Genomic DNA, 14,357 nt, shown 5'->3' on the forward strand with positions numbered 1-14,357 from the left:
GACTGCTGACTTGAACCCAGCCTTGCTAGAACATCCGTGGCAGTCCCAGGGCCCCAAAGACAGGGGTCCAGCAGCCCTGCCTGGCCTGGCTCTCAGTACCTCTCCGACCTCCTCTCCTAGCACTGTTCTCCTCCCTTACCCCGCTGCAGCCATGCTGGCCTCCCTGCTGCTCCTCAGGCTCATTCCACCAGTTCCCCAGCCGCAGGGCCTTTGCACTTGCTATTCCCACTATTGGGAACACTTTACCTCACATCCTCTTGGCATTCCTCTCTTGCTTGTTTCAGGTCTCTGCTCAAGGATCACCTTCTCAGGGAGGTCCAATCCGGCCACCACCCCCACCCCAACCCCCACCCCCGCCATCCTACCCGTCTTATTTTCTTCACAGCACTTATCACACCCCGAAATGACATTTTCATTTGCTCACTTGGCAATTGCCTCTCTTGCTAGCATGCAAATTTTGTGAAGATGAGGACTTTGTCCTATTTGCAGTCATACAGCCTGCACTAGAACAATGTCTGGCACATAGTATGTGCTCAATACATACTTTAATCAATGAAATGACTTCATTAATTCATTTTCCTTCTGCTCTTTGATAAGATTGCTTTCATCTTCAGAGGAAAAATGTGAAACCTGCCTCTCTTCCTCTTGAGTCCTTGCTTGGCCAAACCCTTTTCTCCTACTCCAGGGGAGAATTTGATTAAGTGCTTTTTGTTTTTTGAAGGGCAGGAGAGACCACAGTGAGCATGCCATTGAGCTTCACTTATCACTGCTTTGCTCTTGAAAGTAGATCCCTGAATGCAGATTCTGACCAAACCCAACATCCTATTGGACAGCATTAGGGCCTGGCTTCTGAGCCTCGCCACAGCTGTTCCCTCTGCTGGAATGCCCTTCCCTCACTGTGTGTATAAAGACTTCCTGCTAATGACCCTTTTCACCTTAGCTCAAATGTCGTTTTCTCTAAGAAGCCTTCCCCAATCTTCCAGTCTAAATTAATCTCTCCCACGAAAGCAAATTCTCTTCATTGTGGGGCTCACATTTATAATGAAATACTCTCTGCTCATTGGTTGATTTTCTGCCTCCTGCCCTAGACTGTCAGCCTAGGAGGGCAGGGGTCTGCCTGTGCGGTGTCCCACTGCACACCTAGTGCCCAGCGACGCCCTGCAGCAGGTGTTGGCCGAGCTTGTGTTGGAGGAGCTGGAGAACAGCCCCTTCCTGGAAGCCTGCAGCCTACAGAGCCCACCTCACTGGTCCTCCTCGGTGAGAGCTCATCTGTGTCCCGTCTGCCCGTAGGGGAGCCCCACAGCTCAGCTGCGCTCCATGTGTCCCAGGAATTCTGCTGGAACACGCCAGAGACAGGCAGCTCACTACCTCCTCCCCAGCACTGCGCTAGGCATGGGATAGAAGGAGGGCGCCACTGGGGAATTTTCTTGAGCAGTAGAAGGGCCCCTCCTGGCCATGGGGGTGGTCATGGAGACTGTCCCTTTGGGGAGGATTCAGCCCCTCAGTCCCCATCCCCCCACCCCCCATGGTAAAATAAAGGTTCCAGTTCAAGGTCATGACCTTCACTGTTAAGACCTCAAAGGGAACAGGTCCTGGTTCTCATCCTCCCCAACTTTCCAAAGCCCTCCTGAGGCTCCCCCTGGCCGTCAGAGAAACCCCTTAGCCTGACATACCAGGATCCCAACTGGTGACAGCTCTGGTCTCATTTGCCACCACTCCTCCCTCCCCCACACCTGCTCTGCCACACCTGGCTGCCTAGCATCCCGGGGCACCCGAGCCCTTTCACAACCTCACAAGTCTGTGTGTGTGGAGCCACTTCCAGGACACCCTCCTGGCAGGGCAGAGCTGGCTTTTCCTACCACAGCGCACCCTTCGTCTAGCTGGGCCCCCGAGCCTCTGCAGCAAAGGCAAAGCTATGCTGAGCACTGGCCCATGCAGGACATGGCCAAGGTGCTGCTCATGAACTCATTCAATCTCACAACAAACCTATGGGTAGGTGCTATTCATTCATTCAGCACGTGTTAGTTAAATATTGACTGTGGGCTACACACTCTTTTAGGTGCTACGGATACAGCAGACAGCAAAACACACAGAAACCCTGCCCTCTGCAGCTTCCATTTTAGTGAGGGGAGGCAGTCACTGAGTAAAATCTAGGAGATATTCCGTGATTATTGGAGTTACATGGAAAAATAAAACAAGGAGGGTGACAGAGAGGTCCTGGGGGGGATAGGAGCTGCCTTTTAAGTATGAGGGTCAAACTTTGGGAGGCTGAGGTGGGCAGATAACCTGAGGTTGGAAGTTTGAGACCAGCCTGAGTAATATGGAGAAACCCCATCTCTACTGAAAATACAAAATTAGCCCGGCGTGGTGGCACATGCCTGTAATCCCAGCTACTAGGGAGGCTGAGGCAGGAAAATCGCTTGAACCCAGGAGGTGGAGGTTGCGATGAGCTGAGATCACACCATTGCACTCCAGCCTGGGCAACAAGTGCGAAACTCCATCTCAAAAAAAAAAATGGGGGTCAAATAAGATGCTTGAAGCAAAGACCTGACAAAGGTGTAAAAGTGAAGGCCCATGTCTGGGGAAGAACATTCCAGGCAGAAGGCACAGCCAGTGCAAAGTGCCAGGGCAGGACTTGACCCTGCAGGTGAGAGGGAGGCCAGTGTGGCCCAGGCAGAGAGAGCAAGAGAGGGGTGGTAGGAGACGAGGCAGGGAGGTGAGGGGAGGCCACATGGAGAGACCACGGGCCACATGAGGACTGCAGTTTGTACTTTGATTGAGACAGGTAATCACTGCAGAGCATTGGGAATGAGCTATTGGGAGCTGTGGCGGGGAGCAAAGAAAACAGGCCGATGACCCCTGCAATATGCCAGGTGAGAGGCAATGGCTCTGAGCAGGGAAATAAACTGGAAGGAGAAAGACGCAACTGGACTCCGGAAATATCTGAAGGTAGGGCCACCTGCACTTCCTGATGGATCAGATTTGGACGTGAGAAAAAGAGAAGAGTTAAAGATGTCCCCCAGGTTCTGATCTGAGCCACTAGAAGGATATAATTGTCAACTCTTTTATAGATAAGGACACTGAGGCCCAGAGAGTCAAGTAACCTGCCCAAGATCACCTAGCTGGTCATTAGCCAAGCTGGGATTTGAACCCAGACCTCTGGCCTTGGAAACTTTGACCTCGCCAATCTGCTCCAGTTCACTGTGGTGCTTGACAAATGTTGTTGAACTTTGGAAGTAGGGTTTTCAAGAGAAAGAGACACAGAGAGACAGAGTCAGTCCCTGACCTTGAGACACGACTGCTTCCAGGGTTGAGATGGAAAGTGTAGCTTTGGAGCACGTGGACTTGGTCTTACAGAGCCTCCCCAAGACTGGCTGGTCTACCTGCCCTGGGCCTGCCCTGGGTCTCACTTTCCAATGTATAAAACAGAAGAATCATGATCACTGCCACCATTATAGAGCAGCCCCTGGACCTACTTCACATTATCCCGCCTAATCCTCCTAACAACTGTATGAAGTGGGTGTTAATATCCCTTTTTCACCGATGAGGAACCTGAGGGTCAGACAGGTCCACAGCTAAGAACCAGCAGTCTGGGGATTTGAACTAGAACCAAATGGACACTGGGGCCTGGGTAACTTCACTCTTGCCTGGAGCAGTCAGAATATAACGTACTGAGTACTGCACACAGTAAGCCTTCAACCCATGCAAGTTCTTTTCCTCCCTCCCCACGTTCCCCTACCCATGACCCAGTGTGGGAGTCTTCCACACCCATTTGCAGGTTCTCAAGAAAGTGCCTGTGTGCCAGTACCCGAGACCTAGCTGCTCCTACGGGTTCACTTGGCTGGCCCTGGCCTGTGCGAGCCGGCTGTTTCCTGCAGTGTCCCAGGGACGGGGACAGCACCTGCGGGTGCCTGACACAGAGGACACTCCCTCGCCCCCATGCAGCTTGGGGCACTGTCACCATGGAGAGGCACCAACAGGCCTCCGCAATATTTGGGTAACACAAGCTGGAAGGGTTCCTCCTCGTTCCAGGGCCCAGGCCTGGGCACGTCGGGCTGTGGGCTTGGGGAGGGGCCTGGGGAATTCTGAGGCGCAGACTGACAACCCCAGAGGAAAGCAGAATCCACGATCAACACCAGTGGGGTTCCCAGCACCCTTCGTCTCAGTGCTTCCTCCCTCAACCCCACCAAAGAACAACCGCTAATCCCAATTTTCGTATAGGGAAACTGAGGCTCAGAGAGGCAAGGTCATTTGGCTGGAGTGAAACAATCCAGAAACGGTAGAACCAGGATCTGCACCCCAAAGCCTATGTTCTCTCGCTGTCACAGGCCTCTCGCTAAGCCCGACACGAGGGTCATCCATTCTGGCTCACGATCCCTTACCCATAATTCCAAAACCCTGAAAACCAAAAGATAGTTCATAAGTTTGGCCCCAAAGCTCATTTGGCATGACCCAGCTCCACCATTCACAAGCCATGAGGCCTTGAACAAGTAATGTCATCACTCTGAGCCCCACAGTCCTGTAAAATCTGAAACACGGGAGAGTCGCCGTGCTGTCCTCACCAGCAGCCAGGAGGCCTGAGTGACTGTGGGGGCCCAGGATTCTGCATTTAACAAGTCCTCGAGGGACTTCTGATGCACACTCTGTTTGGGCACCACTCTTTTAAGGCATCTACCTGACCATGCCACTTCCACGCTCTAAAGTCTTCTGTAGCTCCCTATTGCCTTCTGGATAAAGTCCAAGAGCCTTAGCATGGCCTGAACTAATGGGAAGCTACATACTGATAGTTTTTATTTTTTTCCACTTTGCACGTGCATGTTTTGATGCAGAAACAGTTGTGTGTTTGTTTATGGATGAAGATCCCCATTGGGTGTGTTAGGTGATAAAGGGTGTACAGTTAACCTTTGAATAACACAGGTTTGAACTGAATAAGTCCCCTCTTACATGGATGTTCTTCTGCCTCTCCCACCCCTGAGACACCAGGACCAACCCCTCCTCTGCCTCTCCCTCCTCCGGCTACTCACCGTGAGGAGGATAAGGATGAAGATCTTTATGATGATCCACTTCCGCTTAATGAACAGTAACTGTATTTTCTCTTCTTTATGATTTTCTTAAAAACATTTCCTTTTCTTTGGCTTACTTATTTTAAGCATATAGTATATACAACATATAACACACAAAATATGTGTTAACTGACCATTTATGTTATGGCTTCCAGTCAGCAGAAGGCTATCAGTCATTAAGTTTCAGGGAAGTCCAAAGTTATAGGTGGATTTTGACTGTGTCGGAGGTCAGCACCCGTAACCCCCATGTTGCTCAAGGGTCAACTGTATTTCCCTTTTTAAAACCTGAAAAACCCAGAATCCTGAAACCTCCAGTCTCAAGGGATTGTGGGCCCTTAGTATTCTAAGGCACCTGTTGTTTGCTAGGCACCAGGCTGAGCACTTTGCACAGGTGATCGTGTTTCGTCCTAGCCGACCTAGGCAGACGCGCTGTTATCATCCCCACTGGACAGATGAGAACACTGAGGCTCCAGACAGTGAAGCAACTTGGCCAGTTCACACGGCGGTAACAGAATGAGCCTCGAACCGCCACCAGGAGCCACACACGTCGTTAGCATGTGCTCTGTCATTTTCTCCTGCCCTCGTCCCTGTCTGTCAGCCTGGCTGGGCACCAGGTAAACAGGTCCGAGGCATGAGTCACCTCCAGCAGCCTGTCACGGGGCTGGGAAAACAGGCTGGCCACCTCCTGTCAGCCAGGGCCACAAGGGGAGGGCTTTGAATGCTGGTTAGAGCCTTTCAATTTTATCCAGAAAGCAGTTGGGAGCCATGGAAGGGTTTAGAGCAGGGAAGTGTCGTGGTTATGTGGATGACCTAAAGGAGTGGTCCCCAATCCTGAGTGCACATCTGAATCCCCAGGAAGCTTGTTCAACACAGAGCGCTGGGCCCCACCCCAGAGTTTCTGATTCAGTCGTTCTGAGGTGGGGCCGGGGAATTTTCATTTCTAACAGGTTCCTGGGCAACACTGTTGCGGGTGGTGCGGTGACCACACTTTGAGAACCAATGTTCTAGAACAACACAGTGGGGGGAGGGTAGCAGGTGTGCCCGGACTTTCCACTGTAATAAGAGCCGTCATTTTGGGGTGCCAGGGATGTGCCACATTCATCACCCCCACAGCGCACACAGGATGAACTGAGCCTCAGTAAGGAGAAACTGCCTGTCCGGGGCCACACAGCTCAGAAGTGGTGGCCAGGGACTCCCATCTTGGGGACTGGGGTTCCAGAAGGATCCCCCCCTCCCACTGCCCTACCTCTTACCTGGTACCTGTGACAGCTTGGAGGATAGCACGGGTGGCCATCCTTAGTGAGCTGCACTGAACCGCTATGGACTAGGTCAAGGCACTCTGGAGTCGAGCAAACAGATGCGGGAACTGGCATCCCCGAGCTCTGGACCCCAGACCCACTCCTCCTCTGGGCTCCAGACCCACTCCTCCTCTGGGCCCCAGACCCACTCCTCCTCTGGGCCCCCAGCTGTAAAGAGATTGTTCTGACTCCCCGTCACTCGGGCAGGGCGAGGAGCAGTTTCAAGCAGACCCAACTACAGATGCTGCAGAGGGAGGGAGGGGTCGTCAGAGCGAGCCTGGAGACCCCCATCCCTGGAGAAGCCTCTGCCTCCAATCCCCCAAATGGCTGCATCAGAGAAATCCAGGCCATTTCTCCCACAAGCCCTGCTCTCCAGCTGGATGGTGCCCTCAGCCTCCCCTCCGAAGGGCTCATCCTGGAGATGGCCCTCCTCCATGTACCCCCAGGAAGGGATGGCACTGGGGGAAGAGGGGCCCATCAGTGGCTGTCATCGCTCTGCTCCCAACAAGGCCTTGGCTCGTTGTCCTGGTCCCCTTTCTGGCTGAGTGACCTTGAGCCCCAATCTGGGCTTCTCTTTCCTCATTTGCAGACTACTTGCCTGCCTCACTGGCTTTCAGGTGGGACGCAACACTATCAGGAAAACCACTGCTCCCTGAGGACCTACTATGATGCCAGGCCTATTGTCAGAGACCTGCTAGACATCCACGACGGATGTGATAGGCATTGGAATGCACACAAAGATACTGCCCCTTCCAGAGCCTTCTCTAGCTCTGCTGGTGGGCTTCCTCCCCAGACAGGCCTGGGGACACCCCACCATCACCCCCTGAAACAAATCAGGCAGATCATTAAGGATTAAACAGGAGTGACGGCTGTTTGGCCGAAACATGATTTTCTGAACTTTTCCATATGCTTGAGATATTTTATGGTACAATCACGCCGGCCCAGTAAGTGTGAAGCTGGCCTGGGAGAGAGGAGGCAGGATGGAGGAACTGGGTCAGGAGCTGGCCAAGCTCCTGGCCCTCCAGATGTAATGATGGAGCAGATGGGAGGCTGTGAGTCACTGAGAAATGCCCGGATGATTGGGATATTGCTAAAACTCTGAAGTCCCAGATTCCCTTGTGGGCTCCTGGCAAGGGTGTGGAGCTAGTGAACCCATGAACCAGCAGAGCAAACCAGGATGTCCAGGGTGACTGAGTCTGGGAGCAGGGACCAGCCAACAATACCCTTCTCAGTCTCTCCACGTGGTGGAATGGGGAAGTGAAGCCATTCCCAGGAGCCCTTGTGGTTCTGTGTCCAGCCTGAGCCACAGCTTCACCCAACTGGCGCCGGCCAGGTGGACCTCCTGAGGTCTTGGGGTGGGCCTCGGGCTCCTCAAGCCAGCCAGAAGCAGCAGATCAGCTCCCAGCTCCTAACCCCTGGGCCTGGCCGGAAAGCACCTCAGCTCCAGGGACGGGTCAGCTGCAGCTTGTTGTGCGGTTGCTAAGTTCTGTGCTGATCAGTCCGGGCCTCATGGGTTTTTTCCCTCTGGTTTCATGTTCTGACGGGAACTGAGTGAATCTGGAGCGAGTTAATTGCAGCCACAGCATTCCAGAGGGTGTTACGCTGCAAGTTCCTCCCTGGCCCCAGCTCCCCGAGTCCACACCCTCCCCGGCTGTGGGCTGGAGGCTGGAATATGAGCAGCTCTACAGGACTGGACCCTGAGGAATCCGCTGTTCTTTCTAGACACTAACTTGCCTTCCAGGGTGAGGAAAAAGGTTTAAGGTCAAAAACGCATATCTGCCCCTTGGTTCCACAGCTCTCTTTTCTGGCATTTAAGGCTCCACACATTTTGTTCCAAAAGTCATCCCCCAGCCTCATGTCCCACAGTGCCCTGCACCCTCTCTGAGCCAGCCAGACCAGGCTGTTCCCCAGATATCCCCGCACGGGCTCACCTCTCCCCTCCTTGCTGTCTCTGCCCAGCCAGATCTGATCCACCCTCCCTCCCTCCCTTCCTTCCCTCCTTCCTTTCTTCCTTTTTCCTTCCTTCTCTCCTGCAGACGATATTTGTGCTGTCATTCAGTGAGACAGGCAATATTGTGAAGCTTAGAAACAATTGATTTATACATTTCATAAATAAAATTATCAGAGAGTATAATTTCAGGTGGAAATGAGCACTTTGAAAAAAACTAAGAAAACAGATGAAGAGGGGACTAGGCTGTGTGTGTGTGTGTATGTGTGTGTGTGACATATATACCTTAGTCTCTTCTTTATTGCTTCCCTCCTATTTATTTATTTATTTATTTTTGAAACAGAGTTTTGCTCTGTTGCCCAGGCTGGAGTACAGTGGCGCAATCTTGGCTCACTGCAACCTCCACCTGCCAGGTTCAAGCGATTCTCCTGCCTCAGCCTCCCAAGTAGCTGGGGTAACAGGCGCCGGCCACCACACCTGGCTAATTTTTGTATTTTTAATAGAGACGGGGTTTCACAATGTTGGCGGCCTGGCTGGTCTTGAACTCCTGACCTCAGGTGACCCACCCATCTCGGCCTCCCAAAGTTCTGGGATTACAGGTGTGAGCCACCACGCCCAGCCACCTCCTTAGCTTTTTAAAGTGCTTATTTCCACCCAAAATTATATTCTTTTTTAATTTTATGTATGAAATGCACAAATCACTTATTTATAAACTTTACAATATTGTCCATCTCTCTAAAGTGTAAGCTCTATGACGGCATATTGTATGTATGTGGACTTGTGTGTGTATGCTGTGCCTGTGTATGTATGTGTAAGTGTGTGTTTGTGTGTATATCTATGTGTATTTGTGTATGTATGTGTGTGTGCATGTGTGTGTGTGTTTGTGTGTATGGGGGCCAGTTGGGGAGACCAGGGAAGGCCTCTCTGAGCAGGTGAATTTGGGCAGAGACCTGGGGGAGATGCTGGCACTGTGGGGCAGGTGCCCAGGCTCTGCGGGCACCTGGGAGGGAGGCCTGCAGGGTAAAGCAAAGAGAGTGAAGGCAGGGAGGGGGTGGCAGGGCCTGAGCAGCTAGGGCTTGGTGTACCAGCCAGGCATTGGAGGTGTCCCCCAAGCGTGTTGGGGAGGTGGGACTCTCAGAGCCATATTTTCAAAGGACCCCTCTGGCTGCCTTGTGGCCAAGGATGGAAGCCCAGCAGGGACTTGAGGCCAGGCGAGAGACAACTGGGCAGTCCTGAGGGGTGGGCCCTGGAGGGGTGGGCGGCAGCCGAGCCAGCATATATTTTGGAGGAAGAGCTGCGAGGCAGGCCTAGGTGGGAGGGAGATAAAGTCATCAACACAGCTCCAGGGTTTGGGCTGATCCACTTGCAGGAAGGGATGGAGGCCGTGGTGGGGAAGGTGGGAACAGAGCAGGGTCACAGAGGCAAACCCCAGAGATGGGCAGGGTTCCAGCCCACAGGGAGCCTTGGGAGCCCTGCAGGCAACCAACGAACCCCCTCTGGACTGCTCTGAGGACAGCGGAGGAGCCATCGAAGGCTTGCAGGCAGGAGAGTTCCAGAACAATTCTGGTGTGACCTCCTCGCAAAAGCCTCTTGGTGCACGTGGCCTCTCCCCTGCACAAGTCATAAAGTCACTTCATCTGGTGATCTTGACTCAGTTTCCCCAATAATTTGTTGCATTCTAAAAGCTTTTGCTCTGTGCCAGGCACTGGACTAACTCCTATACCAGCGCTCATGCATGAATGATGAGGCAGAGACTATTTATCCCTCCACTATTTCACAGAGGCAAAGACAGACACAGAGAGGGACAGCCACTTGCCCAACGGCACACAGCTGAGAAGCTGGGATTCAGACCCAGGCAGTCTGGCTCTCGAGTCTGTGTGTCCAACCACTCCACTCCACCCCCTGGCTCCCCACACACATACCTGCATGCACACACACACACACACACACACACACACACACACACACGCATAAACATACACACATGTGTGCATCTGCACATGAGGCGTGGAGAGCCTGTGCTGGAGGATGCTGTCCCGGCCGGCCTGGTTTTATGTGCAGGGCCCCCTCTGTGTTTATTCATTCACTAGATAAATATTTCTATGGGAGGGCCAGACTGGGGCTGCTGGGAAGCCGAGATGAGGAGCCCGTGTTTCCTGCCTGCACAGGGATAGGGAGAGGTGGGGACCCGGGGCGGTGAAGTCCATCAGGCAGGTTGCGCGGTGCCTGGAGAGAGGGAAGCCCCACACAGGGCCAGGGGCGGGCAGGAGCAGGGACAGGAGAGCATGGGGAGTCACCCCAGCCCTGTGTGACCATGGGCAAGTCACCTCTGCTCCCAGCCTCAGATTCCACCTTGCTGTCATGGGGACAGGGACGCCTACCTCCTAGAGCTGTCATGAAGGTTCTGCAGGAAGAGTCACAGCACCAACCCTCTCATGGTTGTTCTTTCTTTCCTACTGTGGCGAAAAATGGTGACTGTTACGCTGCCACTCCATGGAGAGAAGCAGGACTTCTGTTTCACAGACTGGGTTTAACATTCCCAGGGCCTTTTTTTTTTCTCTCTCTCTGAGAAGTTCCTTTGCTCAGCAAGGCTGTCGGGGGCACTGGTAAAGGTTGGGTGCTGGGTCTTGGCTCCTTAGCACCCCACTTCCCACCCCCCACCCCCCACCCCCAGTGACTCTGGCAGCGGATGTGGGGACACCGAGCCACAGGGATTCTCAGCTGTCGCTCGACACAGCGGATCCAGGGCCCTTATTTAGAGCCTTGGCTCAGGGGGCTGGGGGAGACGCTCTCTGTCCCAACAGTAATTCCCTTGCTCTCCCCACCTCCTCACCCTCCTAGGGGTGGGGCTCAAGAACTCAGACTCCCCAGCCTTGGGCCTGGGCTCAGAACCTTTCCTGGGCCCTTCCAGAAACCCTCCCTGCCACCGGCTGACCAGTGGCCTGGACTCCTGCATTTAGTGGCTGCTGCAGAGTGAGTTAGTGACCTGGAGAGAAGGAAATAGAGGCTCCCTCTGGAAGGGAGGTGTGTTATGAAAGTGTTTCCCTCTGCTGGGACACCCAGACCCCTACCAGTATCATTGGACTTGAACACCACGTTAGACAACATGTGTCTTCATACGAATACACATAACATAGCAGACAGCCTAGAAGGAAGACTAGAAGGAAAGATGGCAACATGTTGATATTCCTGTCTCTGGGTGGTGTGAGGTTATGAGTGGTCTTTATTTACATGTCTTTTTTTTTCTGTATTTGCTAAATTTTCTCCATTGAAAATGTACTACTATTAAAATCACAAGAAAAAAGTACCTTTTAAAAAGGATCTATTGTATATTTTCCATTTTGTTAAATGGAAGCATAAGATATAAAATATCTCACTTCTGGACACAAAAATATACGTGTAACATTGAAAAGTTAAAATTGTAAGATTACATATAACCCACATGAGAACAGAACATATGTCAAACCTGCGACTACAGTAACGTGTATGTGTATTTGTAGATTCTGAATAAGAAAATTTTATGTGAGAGAGAATGGAAGTACTATGCCCTGTAGGGTCCCCCACTACCACACAAAGAGAGGGCTCCCATTTATTTATGTCTGACTGTCGTGCTAGGCTACGAGGCAATTGAGGGTCAAGGGAAACTTTTACTTCTCTCTGTGTCCTAATGAGGACTTGACACTCAATAAACATTTGTAGATGAACAAGCAAATATCTGCTTTAAAAATAAATGGGCTGCGCACGGTGGCTTATGGCTATAATCCAGCACTTTGGGAGGCCGAGGTGGGCAGATCACTTGAAGTCAGGAGTTCAAGACCAGCCTGGGCAACATGGTGAAACCCCATTTCTACTAAAAATACAAAAATTGCCGGGCATGGTGGTGTGCGCCTGTAATCCCAACTACTTGGGAGGCTGAGGCAGGAGAATCGCTTGAACCTGGGAGGTGGAGGTGACAGTGAGCTGAGATGGCGCCACTGCACTCCAGCCTGGGTGACAGACTGAGACTCCATTTCAAAAATAAATAAATAAATAAATAAACACATTAAAACTCTACAAACAAAAAGCATACCAGGAAGTGGTGTATGAATGTGTCTGGTAAGTCAGTAAAACACAGAGGGTTGTATATTTTCTTTTTTTTTTTTTTTTTAGACAGAGTCTTGCTCTGTCGCCCAGGCTTGGGCACAGTGGCGCGATCTCGGCTTACTGCAAGCTCCGCCTCCCAGGTTCACGCCATTCTCCTGCCTCAGCCTCCCAAGTAGCTGGGATTACAGGTGCCCGCCACCACGCCCGGCTAATTTTTTAATATTTTTAGTAGAGACGAGGTTTCTCCGTGTTAGCCAGGATGGGCTCGATCTCCTGACCTCGTGATCTGCCCGCCTTGGCCTCCCAAAGTGCTGGGATTACAGGCGTGAGTGACCGCGCCCAAACAGATATCTTCAAGGGCCCTTGGGGCTACTTGTGGACCATCTGTCGTGCCCACCAGGCTAGGAGGTACAGGTGGATAGGGGCTCTCTTTGTTAATCTCGGAACCTGAGGCACCCAATGCAGTTTGGATGTACTTGGGAGTACAATGAAAATACGTGGAAGTGGCCAGGCACAGTGGCTCACGCCTGTAATCCCAGCACTTTGGGAGGCCAAGGCAGGTGCATCACCTGAGGTCAGGAGTTCAAGACCAGCCTGGCCAACATGGTGAAACCCTGTCTTTATTAAGGATACAAAAATGAGCCGGGTGTGTTGGCATGCACCTATAATCCCAGCTACTCGGGAGGCTGAGGCAGGAGAATCACTTGAACTCTGGAGGCGGAGGTTGCAGTGAGCCGAGATCGCGCCACTGCACTCCAGCCTGGGCAACAGAGCGAGACTCCATCTTAAAAAGAAAAAAAAAGAAAAAAATGGAAGTATGTTGACAATCAGAAAAAAGCAATAGGGAAGATACACTTTATTTCATAAAAGAGATCAACAGGTCCTCAACTTCAGACACAAAGATAGGGACAGGTGTGTCCCAAGTACAGGCCAACATCCTCCTGAAGATGGTGCTTTCTCTTCCTACTGGGGCTTCTCCCATGGAGACAAGAGGCAGCCCACAACAGGAATTTAGGGGACGTGCCATTCGCTCAAGAAGGAAATGCCAAAAGTGAGGAGGACAGAAAAGAGTCCCTGCTGTCCTTCCTGTGTCCTGGTGCTGGGTTTACTTGTCTGCGTTTCCCTCTAGACTGAGTTCCTTACATGCGGGGCTAGGGTTGGGGGTGCTTCTCCATCTTTGTCTAGGAAACCCAAAACAATCAATTAAATTCAAGTAGCATTTTTGTCACATTTCTACCCCCTGGGCCTTTTCACTGGGGACAACGGAATGAGTGAGCATTTGGGCATTTGTTCAGAAATATTCACTGGGCTTCCGGGATGTGCCAGGCACAGCTGCAGCTCCCACGCTTGTGAAGTTCACTTGTGCTGTTGCCACTGCCACTGACATCTTAAACCCACTCCACACTGTATGTATTTTGACTTGGGGAATGTTTTCTTTTTTTTTTTTTTTCTTTTTAAAAGAAAATAGTGGCCGGGCATGGTGGCTCACATCTGTAATCGCAGCACTTTGGGAGGCCAAGGCAGGCAGATCACTTGAGGTCAGGAGTTTGAGACTACCCTGGCCAACATGGTGAAACCCCATCTCTACCAAAAATACAAAAATTAGCCAGGCGTGGTGGCGCATGCCTGTAATCCCAGCTACTCGGGAGGCTGAGGCAGGAGAATCGCTTCAACCCAGGAGACAGAAGTTGCAGTGAGCCGAGATCACGTCATTGCACTCCAGCCTGGGTGACAGAGTGAGACTCTGTCTCAAGAAAAAAAAAGAAAACAGATTTCCACTCCTAGGAATATACTAGGTATATACTCAAGAGAAATGAAATTATACATCCACACAAAAACGTGTACACTCACAAATGTTCATAGCAGCATTCTTCATAATAGCAAAAAAAAAATGGAAACAACCCAAATGTCCACCAACCAAAGAATGAATAATAAAATATAGTTTATTCATACAACGATGGAATA

General features: G+C 51.6%; 1 annotated feature.

Annotated features, from left to right (window-relative positions):
- Positions 791 to 1,291: an enhancer, noted in NCBI's record as "H3K4me1 hESC enhancer chr5:172153656-172154156 (GRCh37/hg19 assembly coordinates)". NCBI's record gives its function as "activates a minimal SCP1, AML or CMV promoter by ChIP-STARR-seq in naive H9 embryonic stem cells {active_cell/tissue: H9 hESC(naive)}" and the evidence as "EXISTENCE:reporter gene assay evidence [ECO:0000049][PMID:30033119]".

This window comes from Homo sapiens, chromosome 5 (assembly GCF_000001405.40).
Source record: "Homo sapiens chromosome 5, GRCh38.p14 Primary Assembly".
NCBI lineage: Eukaryota > Metazoa > Chordata > Mammalia > Primates > Hominidae > Homo > Homo sapiens.